At 38.9% G+C, this 23,966-nt stretch overlaps 1 long non-coding RNA gene across 1 annotated transcript; it reads right to left on the bottom strand.

Annotated features, from left to right (window-relative positions):
- Positions 1-294: 294 nt before the first annotated feature.
- Positions 295-1,593, bottom strand: LOC124904322 (uncharacterized). The gene is made up of 2 exons (XR_007066412.1): positions 1,205-1,593; positions 295-1,102 (listed from the first exon to the last, which is right to left on the bottom strand). It is a non-coding gene; the product is annotated as an uncharacterized LOC124904322 (long non-coding RNA).
- Positions 1,594-23,966: the final 22,373 nt, after the last annotated feature.

Raw genomic sequence — 23,966 nt, 5'->3', positions numbered from 1 at the left:
TCACCACACCTCAAAGCAAAGTGGTCTTGGCCACCCACTTCAAATGGTCTCAGGCCTCATTTATGGACCTGACATAGCACATGTAAATTCATGGAGAGCCCACATTTCCCCTCAGGTCCTACACGTGGGCATTAATAGAATGGGCACTTGAACCCTTAACTGCTAAAACTTAAGTAAGAGCAATCCCCAATTTCCCAGAGCAAATTCTTGAGGAAATTAGCTGCTGAGTAATTTTTTATGAAGGAGAAGAGGGTAATGAGAAGCAAGTAATGTAGATAATGAAATTGGAGGCAGTTTCACCTTGGGATAACCTGTTTCCATTGTTTAATTAAAAATATACATTTTACAGGCTCTGTATAAATGATATGGCTTCATCGGCACAATAGACTCTTTCACGAAACTGCTCTAATTATACTGCGGAATTACCTGGGATCCTTACAGTCAAAATGAATGAATCCCAATCTTTTCAATATCATATAGGCAAAGATGGCTTCTTGCTTTAAAATATCCCTCCACGTTCTTTGTTATCTTGGCAGTGAAAGCCAGATGTGCCTGCTGTATAAACAGACATCCTTGTTTTCAGTGTCTTGTCTTATAGTACAGAAAAGCATTGTTCATAAAATAAAATATAACTCCCATTCACACAAAGAAGGGAAAGAAACAGTAAGCATGTAGCGAATGATTCCTGACAGACAAATAATTAACAGCCGACTGCCAACAAGGTACGATGATCTGGAGCAGTGTAATAATTATAAGTCATTCTGGTGAGAGGGCTCTTTTTATTTTTATTTTTTCTTTTTTGACCCCCGAGCAAGTACACAAAGGCATACGAGAGAAAAAAAAAAAAGCCTATTTAACACAATTATCCCCCACCTGCCCATCGTTGCACTTCCTGTTGTCACACCTTGTCGGTACTCAGAACAGCTTCATGTCAGCAGTGAGAGGTTTCTAAATAATACATTAAAACGGAGCTCATCATTTCCCTTCATCCTTATTTTTCTGTGTCACCGAGCTGGAATTCTATTCTCATGTTCATTTCAAATTTCCATCCTCATCCTGGGCTGCCAAGTTGGGCGGGGGTGGGAGGGCGAAATAAAGAGCCCTATGAAAGAGAGAGAATGTCATGTGGAAATAATTGTTTGGGATCAACAGGCAAACAAAAAACGAAGTGCAAATTGCAGGTGGAAAGAAAGATGCTCATTACCCCGTGACACAAAAATGTATGTCTTTCCTGTCCATACATGGCTGTGGTCCATGGGGACTTTGAGATCATCAGTTGAGTTTGACATTGTGTTCTGTCATAGCTGTAAAGAAACGACTGCAATATGGAAACTATATAGGGAATAGCACCTGATAGATGGAAATAAAAACTCCTGTGAAATAACTCTTGTAGAACCAAGCCCCATAGATTATGGCCTTGAGTGTAATTTGCATTTCAAACCCTATATTAGTATTTTCCAAAAGTTATTTTTAACTATGTCATAAAGTATTTACTTGACCAGAAAAAATCATTTGAGTATTCTCAGAACAAAAGTCTTGATAAATCTTTGAAATCACACTGTTCTTTTCATGTATGGTATTCTCTCAAGAATAGTGACACAATCAGGAAATTGAGAGTCTAATAAAATGCTCCCAATAATAATTTGTATTCCTTTTACTATATTGAATATTTTCAAGTGATTGTGTTCCTATCAGGAAATCTGGAGCATAATCAAAATAATGATTTATTTTCCAAAAAGTTTTTACCTTAACATTATTTAATGCCAAATCTGCTTCCTGCTAAGATTAAAAATATATTTATCAACATGAATTCTCACATAAACATAGGAAATAGAAAACAAGGGGGAAAAAAGCTTCTACTAGATGACAAGCCCAGGATTTTGTCATATCTAAATCAGAAGCACTGCCCTAGAAAATTCTTAGGGAAAAGGAAAAGACTTTTTCCAGCTCAAGTAGAAACGCATTTTAGTGCTTCTCCCCCGGTATCCCCTCAAGTGCTTAGTTTCTCTTATCCTTAGTGTCCCCAGAATAAAAACATACAGGTACTGTGTGAACAAAACCACCCTCACTTCTGTTCTCCCACAGCCATACAAAGAGCTTTTATGTCTCTGCTTTTCATAACTAAGAATCCAAGCAGGCAATCCAAATGTAAGTAACAGACAAGTCTATTTGAATTTACTATTTCAAGTTAAAATGATACTGGTAGATAATTACTATAATTACAAGATATTTTAATATTATTATTAGTATTGGACTATAAGCCCCGTAGAGGAGACGGGTCCCTGCACATCTTATAAAGGAAATGTGTGTATTATTTCAGCAATTTAATAAAATAAAATATTACATTTTACATGACAGATTCTAAAGTCTTTAAGAACCTTAAGGGTAAACACATATATTAAAGTCTCTGAGGGCATCATGAAAATTTCTAGAACCCTGAGGAAAACATGTCATCAGCATTTGCTGAATTGATGTATGTTTGATATTTAGTCATCAGGTGGGTTAAAGCTCAGCTCAAAACATGGTTTCAAAACATGGTTCAAAACATGCTTCCTGCCAGGCAAGGTGGCTCATGCCTGTAATTCTAGCATTTGGGAAGGTGAGGTGGGAGGATCTCTTGAGACCAGGAGTTTGAGACCAGCCTGGCAACATAGCAAGACTCCATCTCTACAAAAATTAAAAATTAGCTAGGTGTGGTGGCATGCGCCTGTAGTCTCAGCTACTCAGGAAGCTTAAGTGGGGGGATCATTTGAGCCCAAGAGGTCAAGATTGCAGTGAGTTATGAATATATCACCTCACTCCAGCCTGGGTGACAGAGTGAGACTGTTACTCAAACAAAACAAAACAAAACAAACAAAAAAAAACAAGGCTCCATCACTTACTCAGTGTGTGACCTGGGAAAACTACCTATATTAGTCCGTTCTCACACTGCTGATAAAGATATACCCGAGACTGGGCAATTTACAAAAGAAAGAGGTTTCACAGACTTACAGTTCCACATGGCTGGGGAGGCCTCACAATCAGGGTAGAAGGCAAGGAGGAGTAAGTCACGTCTTACAGGGATGGCAGCAGGCAAAAAGAGAGCTTGTGCAGGGGAACTCCCATTTCTGAAACCATCAGATCTTGTGAGACCCGCTCACCATCACAATAACAGTGCAGAAAAGACCCACCCCCATAATTCAATCACCCCCCACAGGGTCCCTCCCACAACAAGTGGAAATTCAAGATGAGATTTGGGTGGGGACACAGCCAAACCATATCACTACCTACCCCTTCCAGGCCTCGATTTTCACCATTATAAAATATATTAACAGACCAGTTGCATTTGCTTAGCTGGGGTGATAATCAAATGAGATCATCTGTAAAATGTACAGAGAGTGATGCCTAGTACACAGTAAGTGTTCAGTGAATATTTCCTCAAGAATAGTGACACTGTTTTTATTATTTTTATATTTATACTGGCTTTTATTCTAAATAGGATCTAATTTTTTAGATTTTATATACTGCATAAATTTACTTCAAGGTAATCTTGCTGTGACATTTTTCTTTAAAAATAAAAATTCCTTTGCCTTATCTTTTACAATAAAGACAAATACTGAAACATCAGAAAGAAAATGTGACAGAAATTTTTAATAGGCTTCAAATTACATAAATAATTACATAATATTTGAAGTAGTACTAGCTTAGCATAATTTTTCCCCTACTGAGAACATACTAAATTTTCTATAAGACACTGCATCATATCCTAGAAACATAATAAATATGGCAAACATATCTTATGCTTTCAACATCTATTGAGTGGATTGAAGCACAGTTTAGTATCTTGCCCAAGGTAAGCTAGTTAGATCTAAAGCCAGCTCTACAACCCAAGCAACCTGACCCTCAATACTCACTGTTAGTCATTATTCTTACTGGTTAAGTAGTATCTTGAGTATCACCATACTAAAAATGTGCTGTTGTAAACTAACTATAAATACATCCACCTGTTGCAATTATCTGCAAAGAAAACTAGAGATCCTGAAGACATTTGATATGATAAAACCTCATTTGCAGGAAAGTAAATGCAAGTTTTCTGATAAGAATTGCATTAAAATTCCAAAAAGATTTCAATTGTCTAATCTCTTTAGAATACTTTTAACACAAAAATAAATTTGCACACATGATAACATAAACATATTGTTATAGCTTAAAATGAAGGAACAACCTTGGGAAAGAAAATACTTGTTGATTTCAAAGACAAATATCAAGCTCCAAAACTGCTACCATCATAAGGAATACCAATAGCTAGGTAATCAAATATTCCTATTCCAATTCTTTAAAATAAAAAATGGAAATGCCAGAGCTTACAACGGCTGAGGTTGGAGAAAACTCTTTTTAGTAGTGGAAATGTAAAGTCAACATGTCAGTGGCTCCAATTGTGGAGGATTTTCATCCCAAAATTGGTTCTTTGTTAATCCAATGTAGACGTATCGACTCATTTCATTACCATATTAACATCAAAATGTTAAACTCAGCCAGAGGAGAAGATTAAAAATTGTAGATCTCCTAGAAATAGTAATTTAGGTCCCTCCACAAACACATGGCATTTCAGGTGAGCACAGAATTCCAGTGGTGTTGGAACAACTCTTCATGTGATATAAGTTATTATAAGGAGAGAATGGCAGAGAGTGGGAATAGGGGAATCTCCAGGATCCTGGATTTTGTTGCTTTTTCTTTTTCAATTGTCGTTTTTACTTCAGTGTAAACTCTGGTTTTCAATTCAGCATTATGAAATAAAAAGTAAAATAAAATGCTAGAGTTTGATTTAGTGCTTACTCTAGGAGGCAGACAGGCATACATTGTATAGCGTGCTCCTTTAGATATTCAACCATCAACATCTGCATGCATTAGAAAAATCTTTTTGTATCAAAATACCATGAAAAAATTAAGGGCTGTTATTAATCTCCATTCTACAGTTGGTGTTTTAATGGATTCATTATTACTTTTGGTATGTTAAGGCCAACAGATCAGGAAACAACTGTCATTGAAAAGGTAAATTATTCTACTTAGAGTTCCCAAAAGACGGAGTAAATATCATGCCACCCGCATGTGGGGACACACAGAGAATCAGCAGGGTCAGTCACAAAACAGAGGGAGGGGAAGACAACCTTTACTGTGGTTTCTGTAGGAAGGAACAGGTGATGCAGGGTAAGCAAGCTTAGCATTGACTGGTTTGAATAATTTCAGGGGCCTCTGAGGCATAGAGGCTGTCCCTAGCTGTCTGGTACCGGGCCTGGGGTGATTAGGGCAGGTAGATGGTGGCCCAGAGTCTGACAGCCCAATCGGAGAGGGGGTTGGGAAGTAGACTTAATCAGCTACCTAAGGAGAGGGACTGACTGGCCTCTAGCCAGGGCCTCAAAACCGAGTCAAGAAAGCATTTTAAAAACTGTATCACGTGGTTTAATGAATTCAGAAACAAGCCTTCTAGTTCACTGTAGTCCATGAGAACCCCAGAAGTTCTTCTTTTAAATGGAGGAAAAAAGAGATTTTTAGCAACAAGCTCACAGATTTCCTCTCTCAACTCACATCCAACTTAGGAAAGTAGCCTCTCCCCAAAAGCATTTATTCTAAGTTAGGAAGCTCATTGATTTTATTTTGGCTTTTGCTCAAGATTTAACTTGACACATATGATAAGCATGTATATTTAATCCAAACTTGTGCAATGAATATTTTTATAAGAAAATTTAGTCACCCTTTCATAGAATGAAGCTTTAAAATAGTTACTATATTTGTATTTCCTTCCGAGGTCAAATGCTGTGCAGAATGCCTTACATGCATTGAATCTAATCTATTATTATCTCCATTTTGCAGATGAGAAGACTAATAATGCTCAGAGATGTCAGATAACCACTCACTGTCCCTCAGTCATGGTGATTCAGAAGGGTGTTCAAAACTGGGTATATGTGGCTTCAACATACTCTTCTAACTATGCCAAATTGCCTCTCAGTTCCACGTAACTACCTCAGTATGCTTACTTCAATAAACAGCTACCTGAGTGTGTCTACACTGAAAAGTATTTTTTTCTGCTCTCACAATTGCAGCAATAGTCTCCCTTAGGATTTTTAAACAATCAGTATTATACAGATCACTCAGCTTAATCCTAAAGAAATTATAGAGATACTGTTTTCTCTCTCCATAATAATAACTCAGTTTAGTCCAATCCGTGTTTTCAAGTCTATGTCTAGAAGATCCATGTCAGGGGGCTCAAGACATGATCCAGACCCACAAGGAGACTACCCTGAATCAGTGGACAGCTAACTAATAGACCATTTGATCTCCCTTGCTCCCTAGGAGGCTGAGACCTGAAGTTAAACACCTGGCCCTTGGTGTCTGTAGCTAACGGGCAGTAGGCCTCTCTTGGTGCAGATTCATGTTCTTCCCACTAATGTGTTATGCTTTCAGAAAAATGAAATTTTCCCCAATAGTAGCAGTGCCAAATTATTTCCAAATTCAAATTTCAACTGAGTAAAACTGTAGAGTAAGAAATGTTATTTTAGAGTCAGATCTCTTTCTGGCATCTGAGTATTCAAATAAGATGTCCTCCACTGTTGAAAGGACCAAAAAAAGAAGCCTGCCCCACCCCATTCCTCCAAGTCATCCAAGGTCATGGCCAGTCCACTTCCCAGAGAACCGAGCTGCTCCATCATCACACGTCAGCATGGAGTGGAGCCAATGGAACAGCTGCATTCCTAATAGCCCAACCCACCTTTTGCCTTGAAGGTACCAAGAAATCAACCATAGCAAGTGTGAGCAGGATGGGGTGGTAGAGCAGACAATGAGGAGAAAGAGGGCAAAATGGAATCCTACATTATGTTTTACGTAATCCTCAAAAGAGAGGTGTAACATGGGATTGGTATGTGCTATCGTTTAAATGTATCCCCCAAAAAAACATGTTTGAAAAGCGTAATCCCCAGTGCAACAGTGTTGGGAGGTGGGGCCTGGTGAGAGGTGATTAGGCAGTGAAGGCTCCACTCTCATTAATGAATTAGTGTTATTATCATGGAAGTGGATTAATGATCACAGAAGTGGGGTCACTATAGAAGGGTGAGTTTGGTTCACTTTCTCTGTCTTGCCCTCTCTTTGCCCTTCCACCTTCTACCATGAGTTGAAGCAGCAAGAAGGCCTTTGCCAGACACTGGCCCCTCAATCTTGGGCTTCCCAGCTTCCATAACTGTGAGTCAATAAATTTCTGTTCCTTGGCCAGGCACGGTGGCTCACGTCTGTAATGCCAGCACTTTGAGAGGCTAAGGCGGGCAAATCAAGAGGTCAGAAGATTGAGACCATCCTGGCCAACATGGTGAAATCCCATCTCTACTAAAAATACAAAAATTAGCCAGGTGTGGTGGCGCACACCTGTAGTCCCACCTACTCAGGAGGCTGAGGCAGGAGAATCGCTTGAACCTGGGAGGCAGAGGCTGCAGTGAGCCGAGATCACACCACTGCACTCCAGCCTGGGTGACAGAGTGAGACTCTGTCTCAAAAATAAATAAAAATAAATAAATAAATAAATAGATAAATAAATGTCTGTTCCTTATAAATCACCAGTCTAATATTCTATTATAGCAGCCAAAAATGAACTAAGACAGTGTGAATGGTTATATGACAGGAATGCTAGGATCCACATGCCATTTACATGTTTATATTTGTAAATATAAATACACATAAACATTAACTCGAATTTCTTTTCCTCATAAATTTATCCATGCCTAGAGATGCATATTAAACTATCCATGCAGTTATTCTATCCCTATGTTTAGAGTCAATGATTAAAAATATTTAATTCATATGGATTATTATTTGATAAGATAACTGACAATTGCAATGAATGTGAAGAAAGACTAATGAGAAAATATAAACTGAGAACAAATAAATTGGGAAGGCATCTCAGTTATTAACAGAAATTGTTCTCTGCAAGTATAACATTTTATAGATTGGGGCCAACTGTCTAGTTGCTAAATACCTTACTTAGTGGGTAATTAAAAATCTAACTGTGTCTATTTGTCATAAAACATCTGGTCAGTCTGGTAAAAAGTCAGATCTTTTCCAAGTATAATATAGACACAGAAACCAAGGGTACTATTTATAGGAAACTATAAATTTTAACAGCAGTTAGTCTTTTATGAAAAGATGAAAGATGCAGTGTTGCAGGCATGAGTGAGACACAGTCTGACATTTATTTAGTAATATTATTAGACACTATGAAATCACAACATTGAAAAGTAGAGTTTTACTTAAGGAAAAGAAAAGCACTTGTTTTCTTCTTTTTTTTTTCTTTTTTTGGACCAACATGGGTATATTTTCTAATTTAAATCCTCATCTCTAATGAAAACATGTTTTGTTATGCTACTGTTTGACATCTTGACTGGTTTAGGCACAAGCCAGAAACTGCTCAGCACCCTTTACAACTAGTGTCTACCCAAGGGTTTATCTATGTCCATAAAAGGCTCCTTTCCCCCACCACCCCCATCCATGGCACTCTCACATGGTATTTCAGCAGTCTTCCTTAGAAAACAGCTTTCTCTGTAATTTGTACCTCCCCTAACCCCAGGCCCCAGCCCTTAGCATTTCACCAGCTCCTTTGACTCACGGTATAGGCCCAGGTGCCCTGGCCAACTCAAGGACAGAAGAAGGAGCTTCTCTTTGTTCTTCACGTGGAAATCTCAAATCAGAAAAACCCTCGTCTTCAACCTGACCCTGGAAACCAGTTTCACCCCAATATCCTCCCGTTGCTCTTTCAGGATTAGCATTCAACAGGAAATTGTAAGACAGGATTGTTCACTGGGGAGAAAAATTAAGATTTAAATTTCTATAGATAAATTATTCAGATGAAAGTTATTCCTACTTGGATTTTACAGTGAACTGGAATTTTTTTTATCATCCAGAGAAGTTTCCTTTGTGGAAAAAGGAGCCTGGAATAGTACTACCAAGGCTCTCCTTGAATTCCACTGGACTCCATATAAAGCCATTCATTTATTTCCTCACACTTTCATTCAACAATGACTTATTAAGCTCCTGTTATGGCCTAGGCTTTATGCTAAGCATTGAGGAGACAATGATAACCAAATAATTGCCACCTCTGCTGCTGTGGAGGTGACATTGTACTTATGCATCTAATAGTCTAAAACAAGGATTATGGATGGAAATTTCTTGGAAGGTTTCAAAGAAGGAAGCAACAATTTTGAGCATAAAAAGATTATTATTATTGTAGCTAGATTAGACTGTCAGTGGGACCTGGGAGGGTTTGAGAGTAGAATCAGAGAGGCCAAATAGGAAGTAGTTTCATTAAATAATGGTGACTTAAAAGAGTGTGGGGGTAGTGAGCAGTGGTGGAATTCAGAATTTATTATAAGGTGTAGCTACCAGTATTTGCTGACAAACTGAATGCAAAGTTGGAGAAAACAAGAAAAGTCAAAGATAAAGGATGACAGACAGAAGATGAAATATTCAAGAACATCTTTTCGATATTCATCAAATCAGAAGAAAGCCAGAATGCTTGCCCAAGAACTCAAGAGAAGGAATCTGAAGCATAGTTATCCAATTGCTGCCAGTAACTTGTGGAGAAATGTTGAGAGCACTGTTTCTGAGGAGGCCTGTCAGAAAATTTAATAAGGTTCTATGGTGGTAAATACATGTAGTCAAAATTTGTAGCTACCTATCAATGCTAAAGCTTTTTATTTTAAACTTCTGAGCTTACAGTTTAAATATGTCTTTAAAAAATTATAATTCTGACTTCCCAGAAAAACACAACATGTTGACTATACAGCAAAACACACAGGCTTTGGATCCATGGTAGCGTTCCACTGATAATGGTAAATAAACTTCAGATCTAATCCTGGATCTTCATCCATTTAAAAGGTCTACTCTTTTTATTTCATCTAGTTCCTGGTAAATTTTACCATAGATATTGAAAAGACTAACTTATGACTAAAAATATATAGTAAAATATATTAAAAGATAAACATATATTAAACAACCCTCTCCAAACCCCAATCCCAATGAAAGCAGCCTTCAGAACTATCTGTCTACCTTTCTACCTACTTACCTCACAAGGGGTGTCAAGGGAAGACACATATATGAGATGTATGGTTCTTGGTTTAAGATATCAGAGTAGTGCTCAATAAAACTAAATGCGTGCTGAGAGTAGGTGTGCCTGGGCTTCTCCTCTCAAATGGTGTTTACTGCCATCCTTTACCACCCAGCTGCTGCAGTGGGTCCCACTTTCTCAATATCCTGCTTTTGCTGAAGCCTGCCCTAGCTTTATTTAAGTACAGAACTAGTTAAACAGCATTTGGGCAGATATGGGCCTTGACCTCCTTTACAGGCACTACATGGGAACTAGATCCTCTGCAGCCACATAAACCTGGTTTCTCGGATGTGTTCAAAAAGAAACAGAACCTGGAGCTCTGTTGAACACTGTTCATATGTGACAGAATGACCTGAAACCAGTCGAGTCAGAATCATTGCACTACTCAGACAATGCTAAACGCATTTAATTAAAAGGAGTAAAATGATTTTTAGCAATGTTTTAACAACAGAAAATTTACCATGGACGGTCTTTTTATAGAACTGTAAAACATCTGAAAGTTCAATCAATCGTTTAGTTTCTTATGAATAATTTTTTTTAAACGCCACCAAGAACCAGGCCTCCTGAGCACTGGCCAGTAGCTTCTTTCTGGAAATACACAAACATGTACATATCTCTATACCAAAAACTGGTGTAAAAATTTCCACAACATAAAAGAGCTGCTTTGTGTATGTTTTCTGACCCCCAGAGAAATGCTAATAAATTCGCATTCAAAGGACATTATGTGTTCATTCTACTTCTATAAAGTCTCCTTCGGTGCAGTTTGCCCCAGGGGCAAATGTGCCAAACTATGAAAAAATATTTAAAATATCATCATTCTCATCTGCTACTTCACTTTAACTTTTATTGAAACATTCAGACGTTGTTAAAGGACAAGAAAGTTGTTTGGGGATGTTTCTGTTGTTGGGAACAACAGCTAGGTAAATGAGTGCTATTAGTGAAGGTAAAAAATCTTCCCAGGAACTTCATTCTCTAGACTTGCATGGCAATAGACTGCTATTTTAATGATTGCATACATTAAAAGTGCCGAGGCTTGATAGATAATTGATAAAACAGAATGGATTAGATTCAGAAACTGGTTAGGATTTAGCAGAGCACTAGCCTTGCCGCCAATAGGCTTTCTAACCTCATCCACATGACATTTTCAGAGGTGTATCATTTGCTGGATAGAATATAGTATCACTCACCCAGGCACGTTGGCTCATGCCTGTAATTCCAGCACTTTGGGAGCCCAAGGCAGGCAGTTCACTTGAGGTCAGGAGTTCGAGACCAGCCTGGCCAACATGGTGAAACCACACCTCTACAAAAATACAAAAATTAGCTGGGCATCATGGCAGGCACCTGTAATCCCAGCTACTCAGGAGGCTGAGGGAGGAACATTGCTTGAACCTGAGAGGCAGAGGTTGCAGTGAGCCGAGATTGTGCCACTGCACTCCAGCCTGGGTGACAGAGCGAGACCCTGCCTCAAAAAAAAAAAAAAAAAAAAAAAAAAAAAAATATATATATATATATATATATATAATAGATAGATAGATAGATATAGATATAGATAGTATCACTAACACACAAAGAACTTCCCAAACTTTCCATGGTCTCAAATGGAAGTGTGTTAAACAAGCAAGAGAAAAGACTGACCACTCTGCTTCAAAGACAGCTACAGGCCCTCATGTAGGAAAATCCATGTGGGGAACACTGACTGTCTTCACTACCTCCAAGGGCAAAAATAGCAGCAAAGCCCAGAAACACCACGAGGACTGAAGTTTGGATCATGATTAACAATATACACAAATCCTTACATAAAATCTAAATTTGTTATATTATACAGTACGTGTTAGTTAATGACCACTGAAAAATCATCAAATTAGTAAAAAAAAACAACTTTTCCTATCATATTATTCTTAATGTAATAGATCATTTATGATGCTTATAAACTTTGGTGTTGGCATTCAATACATTAAAGTGGGGATTATTTAAAACATCACAGAAAAACGTACTCTATATTTAATCTTTTACCCCAAAGCTAATTGTGTTTTTATAATACCTCTTGCTATTCTGATAGCTCCAAATTATGATAGTTATGTAAATATAATGTAAGAGAAAATATATAAGAAAAAAACTAATAGAATATAAGAGAAAAGAGTGTTGGGAGGGATATTTTTCTTTTTTTTTTTTTTTTTTTTTGAAATAAATCCTTTATTTTTAATAATTTCGTTCTCAATTTCAGACAATAGCTTAAAGAAACAAAAAGGCTCTCAGTAAGTTCAGCTCCACAACTACAGCAAACCTTTGGTTTAAAAAACTTATTTTGAGAATTACCAAGTTGAATATAAAAGCAGTTTATATTCAACTTGGGAGGGATATTTTTCAAATGACTTTATCGTTTCCGAAGTGCTTACTTTCGCTTGCTAAGGCTTCAAACAAAGCTATTTCTGAAAATGACCAAGCTCCAGCTGTGCCAACAGTTTCCAGCCTTAGTCAAATGCTGTTTGGTAGCAGCAGCTATGCTTAACAACTGAAGCTCTAGACTTGGCCCTACCTATCCCCTGCTGCATGGTGCATTTCCCCTGGGAGTGGTTTTTGCTATCATTTTTGTTCAATGATCTCATTCATGAGTCCTCAAAATGGAAATGTCTGAAACTCAACTACTTTTCTCTCGAAATATCCCATGACCCCATCCACAAATGTGCCGAACCTCACTTTGGCAACTTTCAAGTTCTCCATGTCAAAGACTGGGAGACATGGGGACCCCACCCCTGGCACTGCAGACCCCAGCCTATAGTATCAGAGCCCTTTGTTTCACCTATGGATAAGTTGCTCAAGCTCTTTACATCCATTGCCCATTCTCTCTTCTGTATCTTCAAACTTCTTTTTTTTTTTTTTTAATCATACTTTAAGTTCTAGGATACATGTGCACAACATGCAGGTTTGTTACATATGTATACATGTGGCATGTTAGTGTGCTGCACCCATTAACTTGTCATTTACATTAGGCATATCTCCTAATGCTATCCGTCTCCCCTCACCCTACCCAACAGGTCCTGGTGTGTGATGTTCCCCTTCCTGTGTCCAAGTGTTCTCATTATTCAATTCCTACCTATGAGTGAGAACATGCGGTGTTTGGTTTTTTTGTCCTTGAGATAGTTTGCAAAGAATGATGGCTTCCAGCTTCATCCATGTCCCTACAAAGGACATGAACTCATCCTTTTTTATGGCTGCATAGTATTCCATGGTGTAGATGTGCCACATTTGCTTAATCCAGTCTATCATTGATGGACATTTGGGTTGGTTGCAAGTCTTTGCTATTGTGAATAGTGCTGCAATGAACATACATGTGCATGTGTCTTTGTAGCAGCATAATTTATAATCCTTTGGGTATATACCCAATAATGGGATGGCTGGGTCAAATGGTATTTCTAGTTCTAGATCCTTGAGGAATCACCACACTGACTTCCACAATGGTTGAACTAGTTTACAGTCCCGCCAACAGTGTAAAAATGTTCCTATTTCTCCACATCCTCTCCAGCACCTGTTGTTTCCTGACTTTTTAATGATCGCCATTCTAACTGGTGTGAGATGGTATCTCATTGTGGTTTTGATTTGCATTTCTCTGATGGCCAGTGATGATGAGCATTTTTTCACGTGTCTGTTGGCTGCATAAATGTCTTCTTTTGAGAAGTGTCTGTTCATATCCTTCACCCACTTTTTGATGGGGTTGTTTTTTTCTTGTAAATTTGTTTCAGTTCTTTGTAGATTCTGGATATCAGCCCTTTGTCAGATGAGTAGATTGTAAAAATTTTCTCCCATTCTGTAGGTTGCCCATTCACTCAGATGGTAGTTTCTTTTGCTGTGCAGAAGCTCTTTAGTTTAATTAGATCCCATTTGTCAATTCTGGCTTCTCTTGCCATTGCTTTTGGTGTTTTAGACATGAAGTCATTGCCCATGCCTATGTCCTTAATAGTATTGCCTAGGTTTTCTTCTAGAGTTTTTATGGTTTTAGGTCTAACTTTAAGTCTTTAATCCATCTTGAATTAATTTTGGTATAAGGTGTAAGGAAGGGATCCAGTTTCAGCTTTCTACATACGGCCAGCCAGTTTTCCCAGCACCATTTATTAAATAGGGAATCCTTTCCCCATTTCTGGTTTTTGTCAGGTTTGTCAAAGATCAGATGGGTGTAGATGTGTGGTATTATTTCTGTGGGCTCTGCTCTGTTCCATTGGTCTATATCTCTGTTTTGGTACCAGTACCATGCTGTTTTGGTTACTATAGCCTTGTAGTATAGTTTGAAGTCAGGTAGCGTGATGCCTCCAGTTTTGTTCTTTTGGCTTAGAATTGTCTTGGCAATGCTGGCCCTTTTTTGTTTCCATATGAACTTTAAAGTAGTTTTTTCCAATTCTGTGAAGAAAGCCATTGGTAACTTGATGCGGATGGCATTGAATCTGTAAATTACCTTGGGCAGTATGGCCATTTTCACAATATTGATTCTTCCTATCCATGAGCATGAAATGTTCTTCTATTTGTTTATGTCCTCTTTTATTTCATTGAGCAGTGGTTTGTAGTCCTCCTTGAAGAGGTCCTTTACATCCCTTGTAAATTGGATGCCTAGGTATTTTATTCTCTTTGAAGCAATTGTGAATGGGAGTTCACTCATGATTTGGCTCTCTGTTTGTCTGTTATTGGCGTATAAGAATGCTTGTGATTTTTGCACATTGATTTTGTATCCTGGGACTTGGCTGAAGTTGCTTATCAGCTTAAGGAGATTTTGGGCTGAGATGATGGGGTTTTCTAAATATACAATCATGTCATCTGCAAACAGGGACAATTTGACCTCCTCTTTTCCTAACTGCATACCCTTTATTTCTTTCTTCTGTCTGATTGCCCTGGCCAGAACTTCCAACACTATGTTGAATAGGAGTGGTGAGAGAGGGCATCCCTGTCTTGTGCCAGTTTTCAAAGGGAATGCTTCCAGTTTTTGCCCATTCAGTATGATATTGGCTGTGGGATTGTCATAAATAGCTCTTATTATTTTGAGATATGTCCCATCAATACCTAATTTATTGTGAGTTTTTAGCATGAAAGGCTGTTGAATTTTGTCAAAGGCCTTTTCTGCATCTGTTGAGATAATCAAGTGGTTTTTGTCTTTGGTTCTTTTTATATGCTGGATTATGTTTATTGGTTTCTGTATGTTGAACCTGCCTTGCATCCCAGGGATGAAGCCCACTTGATCATCGTGGATAAGCTTTTTGATGTGCTGCTGGATTCAGTTTGCCAGTATTTTATTGAGGATTTTTGCATCGATGTTCATCAGGGACATTGGTCTAAAATTCTCTTTTTTTGTTGTGTCTCTGCCAGGCTTTGGTATCAGGATGATGCTGGCCTCATAAAATGAGTTAGGGAGGATTCCCTCTTCTTCTATTGATTGGAATAGTTTCAGAAGGAATGGTACCAGCTCCTCCTTGTACCTCTGGTAGAATTCGGCTGTGAATCTGTGTGGTCTGTCTGGATGTTTTTTGGTTGGTAGGCTATTAATTATTGCCTCAATTTCAGAGCCTGTTATTGGTCTATTCAGGGATTCAACTTCTTCCTGGTTTAGTTTTGGGAGGGTGTATGTGTCCAGGAATTTATCCATTTCTTCTAGATTTTCTAGTTTATTTGTGTAGAGGTGTTTATAGTATTCTATGATGGTAGTTTGTATTTCTGTGGGATCGGTGGTGATATCCCCTTTATCATTTTTTATTGTGTCTATTTGATTCTTCTCTCTTTTCTTCGTTATTAGTCTTGCTAGTGGTCTATCAGTTTTGTTGATCTTTTCAAAAAACAAGCTCCTGGATTCATTGAATTTTTTGAAGGGTTTTTTGTGTCTCTATCTCCTTCATTTCTGCGCTGACCTTAGTTATTTCTTGCCTTCTGCTAGCTTTTGAATGTGTTTGCTCTTGCTTCTCTAGTTCTTTTAATTGTGATGTTAGGGTGTCAATTTTAGATCTTTCCTGCTTTCTCTTGTGGGCACTTAGTGCTATAAATTTCCCTCTACACACTGCTTTAAATGTGTCCCAGAGATTCTGGTCTGTTGTGTCTTTGTTCTCATTCATTTCAAAGAACATCTTTATTTCTGCCTTCCTTTTGTTATCTACCCAATAGTCATTCAGGAGCAGGTTGTTCAGTTTCCATGTAGTTGAGTGGTTTTGAGTGAGTTTCTTAATCCTGAGTTCTAATTTGATTGCATTGTGGTCTGAGAGACAGTTTGTTATAATTTCTGTTCTTTTTCATTTGCTGAGGAGTGCTTTACTTCCAACTATGTGGTCAGTTTTGGAATAGGTGTAATGTGGTGCTGAGAAGAATGTATATTCTGTTGATTTAGGGTGGAGAGTTCTGTAGATGTCTATCAGGTCTGCTTGGTGCACAGCTGGGTTCAATTCCTGGATATCCTTATTAACTTTCTTTCTCGTTGATCTGTCTAATGTTGACAGTGGGATGTTAAAGTCTCCCATTATTTTTGTGTGGGAGTCTAAGTCTCTTTGTAGGTCTCTAAGGACTTGCTTTATGAATCTGGGTGCTCCTGTATTGGGTGCATATATATTTAGGATAGTTAGCTCTTCTTGTTGAATTGATCCCTTTACCATTATGTAATGGTCTTCTTTGTCTCTTTTGATCTTTGTTGGTTTAAAGTCTGTTTTATCAGAGACTAGGATTGCAAACCCTGCCTTTCTTTGTTTTCCATTTGCCTACTAGATCTTCCTCCATCCCTTTATTTTGAGCCTATGTGTGTCTCTGCAAGTGACATGGGTCTCCTGAATACAGCACACTGAAGGGTCTTGATTCTTTATCCAATTTGCCAGTTTGTGTCTTTTAATTGGAGCATTTAGCCCATTTACATTTAAGTTTAATATGGTTATGTGTGAATTTGATCCTGTCATTATGATGTTAGCTAGTTATTTTGCTCGTTAGTTGATGCAGTTTCTTCCTAGCATTGATGATCTTTACAATTTGGCATGTTTTTGCAGTGGCTGGTATTGGTTGTTCCTTTCCATGTTTAGTGCTTCCTTCAGGAGCTCTTTTAGGGCAGGCCTGGTGGTGACAAAAATCTCACAGCATTTGGTTTTCTGTAAAGGATTTTATTTCTCCTTCACTTATGAAGCTTAGTTTGGCTGGATATGAAACTCTGGGTTGAAAATTCTTTAAGAATGTCGGATATTGGCCCCCGCTCTCTTCTGGCTTGTAGAGTTTCTGCCAAGAGATCCACTGTCAGTCTGATGGGCTTCCCTTTGAGGGTAACCCGACCTTTCTCTCTGGCTGCCCTTAACATTTTTTCCTTCATTCCAACTTTGGTGAATCTGACAATTATGTATCTTGGAGTTGCTCTTCTCGAGGAGTATCTTTGTGGCGTTCTCTGTATTTCCTGAATTTGAATGTTGCCCTGCCTTGCTAGGTTGGGGATGTTCTCCCGGATAATATCCTGCAGAGTGTTTTCCAACTTGATTCCATTTTTCCAGTCACTTTCAGATACACCAATCAGATGTAGATTGGGTCTTTTCACATAGTCCCATATTTCTTGAAGGCTTTATTCGTTTCTTTCTACTCTTTTTTCTCCAAACTTCTCTTTTCACTTCATTTCATTCATTTGATCTTCAATCACTGATACCCTTTCTTCCAGTTGATTGAATCGGCTACTGAAGCTTGTGCATTCATCACGTAGTTCTCGTGCCATGGTTTTCAGCTCCATCAGGTCATTTAAGGACTTCTCTACACTGCTTATCTAGTTAGCCATTCGTCTAATCTTTTTTCAAGGTTTTTAGCTTCTTTGTGATGGCTTCGAGCTTCCTCCTTTAGCTCGGCGAAGTTTGATCGTCTGAAGCCTTCTTCTCTCAACTTGTCAAAGCCTTTCTCCAACCAGCTTTGTTCCGTTGCTGGTGAGGAGCTGTGTTCCTTTGGAGAGGGAGAGGTGCTCTGATTTTTAGAATTTTCAGCTTTTCTGCTCTGTTTTTTCCCCATCTTTGTGGTTTTATCTACCTTGGTCTTTGATGATGGTGATGTACAGATGGGGTTTTGGTGTGGATATCCTTTCTGTTTGTTAGTTTTCCTTCTAACAGTCAGGACCTTCAGCTGCAGGTCTGTTGACGTTTGCTGGAGGTCCACTCCAGACCCTGTTTGCCTGGGTATGAGCAGCGAAGGCTGCGGGACAGCGAATATTGCTGAACAAATGTTGCTGCCTGATCATTCCTCTGGAAGCTTCATCTCAGAGCAGTACCCGGCTGTGTGAGGTGTTGGTCTGCCCCTACTGGGGGGTGCCTCCCAGTTAGGCTACTCGGGGGTCAGGGACCCACTTGAGGTGGCAGTCTGTCCATTCTCATCTCTGAATCTCCATGCTGGGAGAACCACTACTGTCTTCACAGCTGTCAGACAGGGACATTTAAGTCTGCAGAGGTTTCTGCTGCCTTTTGTTTGGCTATGCCCTGCCCCCAGAGATGGAGTGTACAGAGGCAGGCAGGCATCCTTGAGCTGTAGTGGGCTCCACCCAGTTCGAGCTTCCCAGCCACTTTGTTTACCTACTCAAGGCTCAGCAATGGTGGGCGCCCCTCCGCCAGCCTTGCTGCCACCTTGCAGTTCAATCTCAGACTGCTGTGCTAGCAATGAGCGAGGCTCCGTGGGTGTGTGACCCTCCGAGCCAGGCATGGGAAATAATCTCCTGGTGTGCCATTTGCTAAGACCATTGGAAAAGCGCAGTATTAGGGTGGGAGTGACCTGATTTTCCAGATGCCATCTATCTGGAATAGATGCTTCGCTTGGCTAGGAAGGGGAATTCCCTGACCTCTTGTGCTTCCCAGCTGAGGCTACGCCTCACCCTGCTTTGGCTCACGCTCGGTGGGCTGCACCCACTGTCCGACAAGCCCCAGTGAGATGAACCTAGTACCTCAGTTGGAAATGCAGAAATCACCTGTCTTCTGCGTCGCTCATGCTAGGAGCTGTAGACTGGAGCTGTTCCTATTTGGCCATCTTGGAACCGCCTCAAAAAGCCAAGTCCCAAACTTCTTTTCATTAATCCAATACTTCCAGTTTCTGTGCTGACACTCCCTAATTCTTAACACCTCACTGAACTCTGACGTCTATTCCCATCCATCTACTGAAATTTCTTTTCCTGAAGTCATCAGTAACAGCTAATGTGATGTCCAAATGATCCCTTTTGGTCCTTACTTTTGCTAACATTTTAGAGGCACCTTGCTTCTTCTAACACTATGCCTTTTGCTTTGTGGACAACATTTCTTGGTCTTCTCCTTCCTCCTGATCCACCCCTCCCTCCATCTCCTTTACAGGTTCTTTTCATCTACCAATCACTTAAACATTGTTTAGGATTCTCGTCTACCCTGTTTATGGGGCACAATCAACTACAGTGATCACATTTATTATTAAGGCTTGAATTATCTTCTATCTGTGATATTTCCCAAATATATGTGTAATAGACTGTGCACACAAACACACCAGTCCAGATGTGTCTTTTGAGTTTCAGACATGAAGACATAACTAGATACTGAAAAGTCACACTTGGAGGTAGTATCTATTCAAGATAAAACCAATCATTTCTCCCTTCAAACTTTCTCATTCCCTTGAGTGCCTTTGTTTTAGCAAAAAAATCCCATTTATCCACTTCTTGAACCAGATACGTGGAGGTCACATCAGCTCCCACCCTCTTAGACATGCAGTGGGTCTGCCTTCTAAGTAGCCCTTGGATTTGCACAGTTCTCTCCATTCAGACTGTTTATCCCTAGTGCATGCACACGCCATCTCTCTCATATACTGCAAAAACTACCATGTCTCCCAACCTCCCTTCCTCCTTGCTGTTAATCCGCTGTCTACCCTATGACATCATGCCACTCCCTGCTTGAGATTCTTCAACAATTTTTTCATTGCTACTAAGATAAAATCCAACTTAAGGCCTTGAGTTTACTATATGGTCTCTACCTATAGATTCATCTCCAGATTGATTTCTGGATATGTTGACACATATTTTACTCTCAAAATGTACTGAAATTCTTTCACTCCCTCCCATCTCCCTCAGCTGTTCATGTTCTTGGCCAACAATTTTCTTTCTGCCAAGAATCCTCCTCTTCACTTCACCTTCTTCTGGCTAATTCAACTGTTCCTCCAAGTCTCAATTGAAGCATAAGTTTCTCAGGAAGAACTTCTCTAGCCCACTGAAGAGCATAAATTCCTTAGTACATGCCTGAACACCACCCTGCATTCCCCCATTATAACACATTTCCCAGTTTATTATTGTTACTTATTTACCATCTGTTTCCTCACTATATATAAATTCCATGAAAAATGATGATAGTTATCTTCCCACTGAAGTTTACCCAAGACCCACCTTCACACTTAATACAAGGTAGGCATTCAAAAAATAATGAACAAATAATAAACGTGGCAAATTGTACATCCTAAGGCTTTCTTGCCTTTTAATAAATAAACATAGAAAAGACTTATATAATCAACAGATTATACTGAGGGAATGTGTAAGCATAAATCCTATGGCCTTGTACTCTAGGAAGTGGATGGTTGTGGAGGGCTACTGAGATACAGATCCCCTATCTGTGTTCTCACAATGAGAGTTGGATGTTTATTTGTTCTTCTTGTCTCTGCTTTCTCGCATTGATCAGTGCAATATTTAGCTGACCCACATTAATCATTTTTAAAGTCTTTGGACATCAAAGACCTGGGCTTATGTACAAACACTTTTGCCTAAATTGGTTCCAGATGATCATGCTAAAAAACAACCTATTTTAAGAAGAATCAACTATGAGTAATGTGAGAATTAAAGTGAGGAAATGAAGACTTAAGCTAAACAGAGAGGAGGGGATTTACAAGGAAATCAAGGTAAGATGCATTAGTCTGCTACAAGAGTTTTGTTTTTCTTCCTAATAAATATAACGGCAGCCTAATAACAAGCATTTAAATGGTTCTAAGTACATCACTGAGGACACCAGTGCTATTCATCGCATTTATTTAACCACTGTCTGATCAGTTTCCGAAATAGGGAAGCTCTAATGGATTTAAATACGTGTACTTGAAAATCAGTTTTATGATTTCTTATCCTACTTTATTTCCCTTGACATTAAACTCTTGTTCTCCACACTAAAGAAAGTTCAATGAGCTAAGTAGTTATTGAATTGCTTATTTCCTCTGGATTTATCTGTGGGTTTTTTTTGTTTGTTTCCTTCATAGTGTGTCACTTGCCCCTTTAAGTATGTCTAGCTCTTTGATATTTCCCACCCCTAATACTTTTTGACCTCATGACTTAAACAATTGATGATGCTTACCGAGAATCAATGTCTGTGAATGCCATCCTGCCCCTTACCTCCCATTAAAACCTCAAGTTGTACACTGTTGTGCCTTCCTATAACCTGACCTGTAAGCATTTAGACACCATTGTAATTAAGTAATTGCTCTTGGAATGTTATTTTTTCCCATCAGACTAAAAGCACTATGAGTAAAAGGAAAATTATAAATGCTGGTCAAGCAATCTTAGTTCTTCCAAAGAATACATGTGCATAATTTCATAAAAATAATTAGGCAAACACCGCATGTTTTCACTCATAAGTGGGAGTTGAACAATGAGAATACATAGACACAGGGAGGGGAACATCACACAGTGGGGCCTGTCAGGTGGTCGGGGGGCTAGGGGAGGGACAGCATTAGGAGAAATACCTAATGTAGATGAGGGGTTGATGGGGGCAGCAAACCACCATGGCACAGTGTATACCTACGTAACAAACCTGCACGTTCTGCACATGTACCCCAGAACTTAAAGTATAATAAAAAATGAAATAAAATAAATAATTAGGCAAATCCTTGGCCATGTTGAGAGACAGATCAAATTGATTGCTTCTGCCTTTTAACTTTTACTGACAAAACAGAAGACGATCCTCAAGATTTAGAATTAGATTTGACTAATTAAAAGACAAAAGTCTTATCTCCATGGGTAAAGTAGCCATTTCTGTTTTCTTCCTAACATTCTTGATCTTGTAATTCATGTAAAATTATTTCAGGAGCCTCTTATTTGCACTTCCAGAAAGAGTTCATTTTGGCCTCAAACTATTATATGTTTGCAAGATTAATTTTCTTAGTATAACACTTTATTGTGTCAGAGCATTGTTCATTTTTTCAAATATGTATATATTGCCAACATTATAAAATTAAAATATTTTTCCAGATATGGAAGGTCTTTCACAATCTAACTCAATCCTATTATCCACCCTTGCTTTGAACCATTCTGAAGATCTTGCTACTCTAATCAAATTTATTTTCTTCCTGCCCCTTCGCACCTATTTGCACAAATTCTTCTTGGATTTTTATCTTATTTTGTCACATATATTGAATATCAACTTGTACTTCAATTAAATTCAAGCCCTACCCCATCCTTCAGGAGTGCCCAGTTAAAATCCATATATCCTAAAAAGGATATTTTAGAATATTCAGCCTAAAATAAACTCTTCATCTTTTCAGTTTTAAAAAACTTTTGTGGCTTAAACATAGAAGTTTATTTCTTGCTCAGAGAACAGTATTGAGCCAGTTTACTGGTCATCAAGGTCAGCAAATCCAAGTGACCTAGGAGACAAAGAGTCAGCGCTCTTCAGTGAGTGGCCTTTAAGGTGGCCTTGGCGGTGGTCTGCATTCCAGCTCACCAGAAGGGGACAGAGGATGGAGAGGCACTAATAAGAGAGCTAGCCAGAATTTGAGATGGAGAATATCACATTTACTCACAATTCCATTGGTGAGAACTCAGTCACATGCCATTTCTAACTTCATGGGAAATTGAAAATGTCATCTAGTCATGTGGCCAGAAAGAAGAGGACATGGACATTTCCAGGCAGCTGCCACAGGTAGAGTGCAAGGTGTTTATTCATATACTTGGGACATTTCTCCTTTAATTGCTATTTGTATCATTTTTACTACTTACCATTTTACACATGTATTTCTTACTTGCTTCAACCCACAGTTCTTTACAAATATCAGAGATCTTCAACAAGATTTTCCTAGATCCTGGCTTGTAGTCAGTTCCTTACTAAATTCACTCACAGGGACTTCTAAGTGAAGATATTTTGAGATATGGTAAAGAGCGAGAACCATACATTTTAGGCACCAGATGTAAGGGGACAGAGTTGCCATGATGTTGTAAAAAGTTGAAGAGAGAGAATTGTGTTCTCAGCCAAACAGAGGGCTTATCAACTCCAGCAAGGAGGTGGGGTCTAAGAGAGGAGGTAGGCAGAGCTACACTGTTATTCTTTTGAAGCATTCAAGCTGTCTCATTTATCGAGAAAAATAACATTATTACCTCTAAGAAACATCCTGTTTTAAGAAAAATGGTGTATTCTCAGAGACCAGTGCACATCATCAGCTTGAACAGGTGCATGAATTGAGACCACTTGATAGAGGAAGTAGTTGAGACTGGTAGGAATGTAATTGACGGTGATCGGTTATTTATTTTGAGCTGAGGTTTGTTCTGATTAGGGATGCCTGACCATGTAGAGCCAGACTGAGAATCAAGAAAGAACCACTAGAGTTAAACAGGAAACTGAGGATGCACCCAGCAGGAAGCATTAAGAAATGATCTAAAAGGCAAGGTGGGCCTAAATGAAATCTGATGGGTGATAATCTGTGGTAATCCAAGTATACATTACAGTTGATTTCAGGAGAAATCGGGAAATAATTAGTAAAATCTTAAAAATGGATGTGTGTTCAGAGCTAAGATGGCCTTTGATATGGTTTGGCTCTGTGTCCCCACCCAAATCTCATGTTGAACTGTAATCCCCACGTGTCAGGGGAGGGACCTGGTGGGAGGTGATGATTGGATCAT

Source organism: Homo sapiens, chromosome 18 (assembly GCF_000001405.40).
Source record: "Homo sapiens chromosome 18, GRCh38.p14 Primary Assembly".
Taxonomy (NCBI): Eukaryota; Metazoa; Chordata; class Mammalia; order Primates; family Hominidae; genus Homo; species Homo sapiens.
The sequence above is the reverse complement of the archived record's forward strand: the minus strand, read 5'-3'. Positions and strand labels throughout refer to the sequence as shown.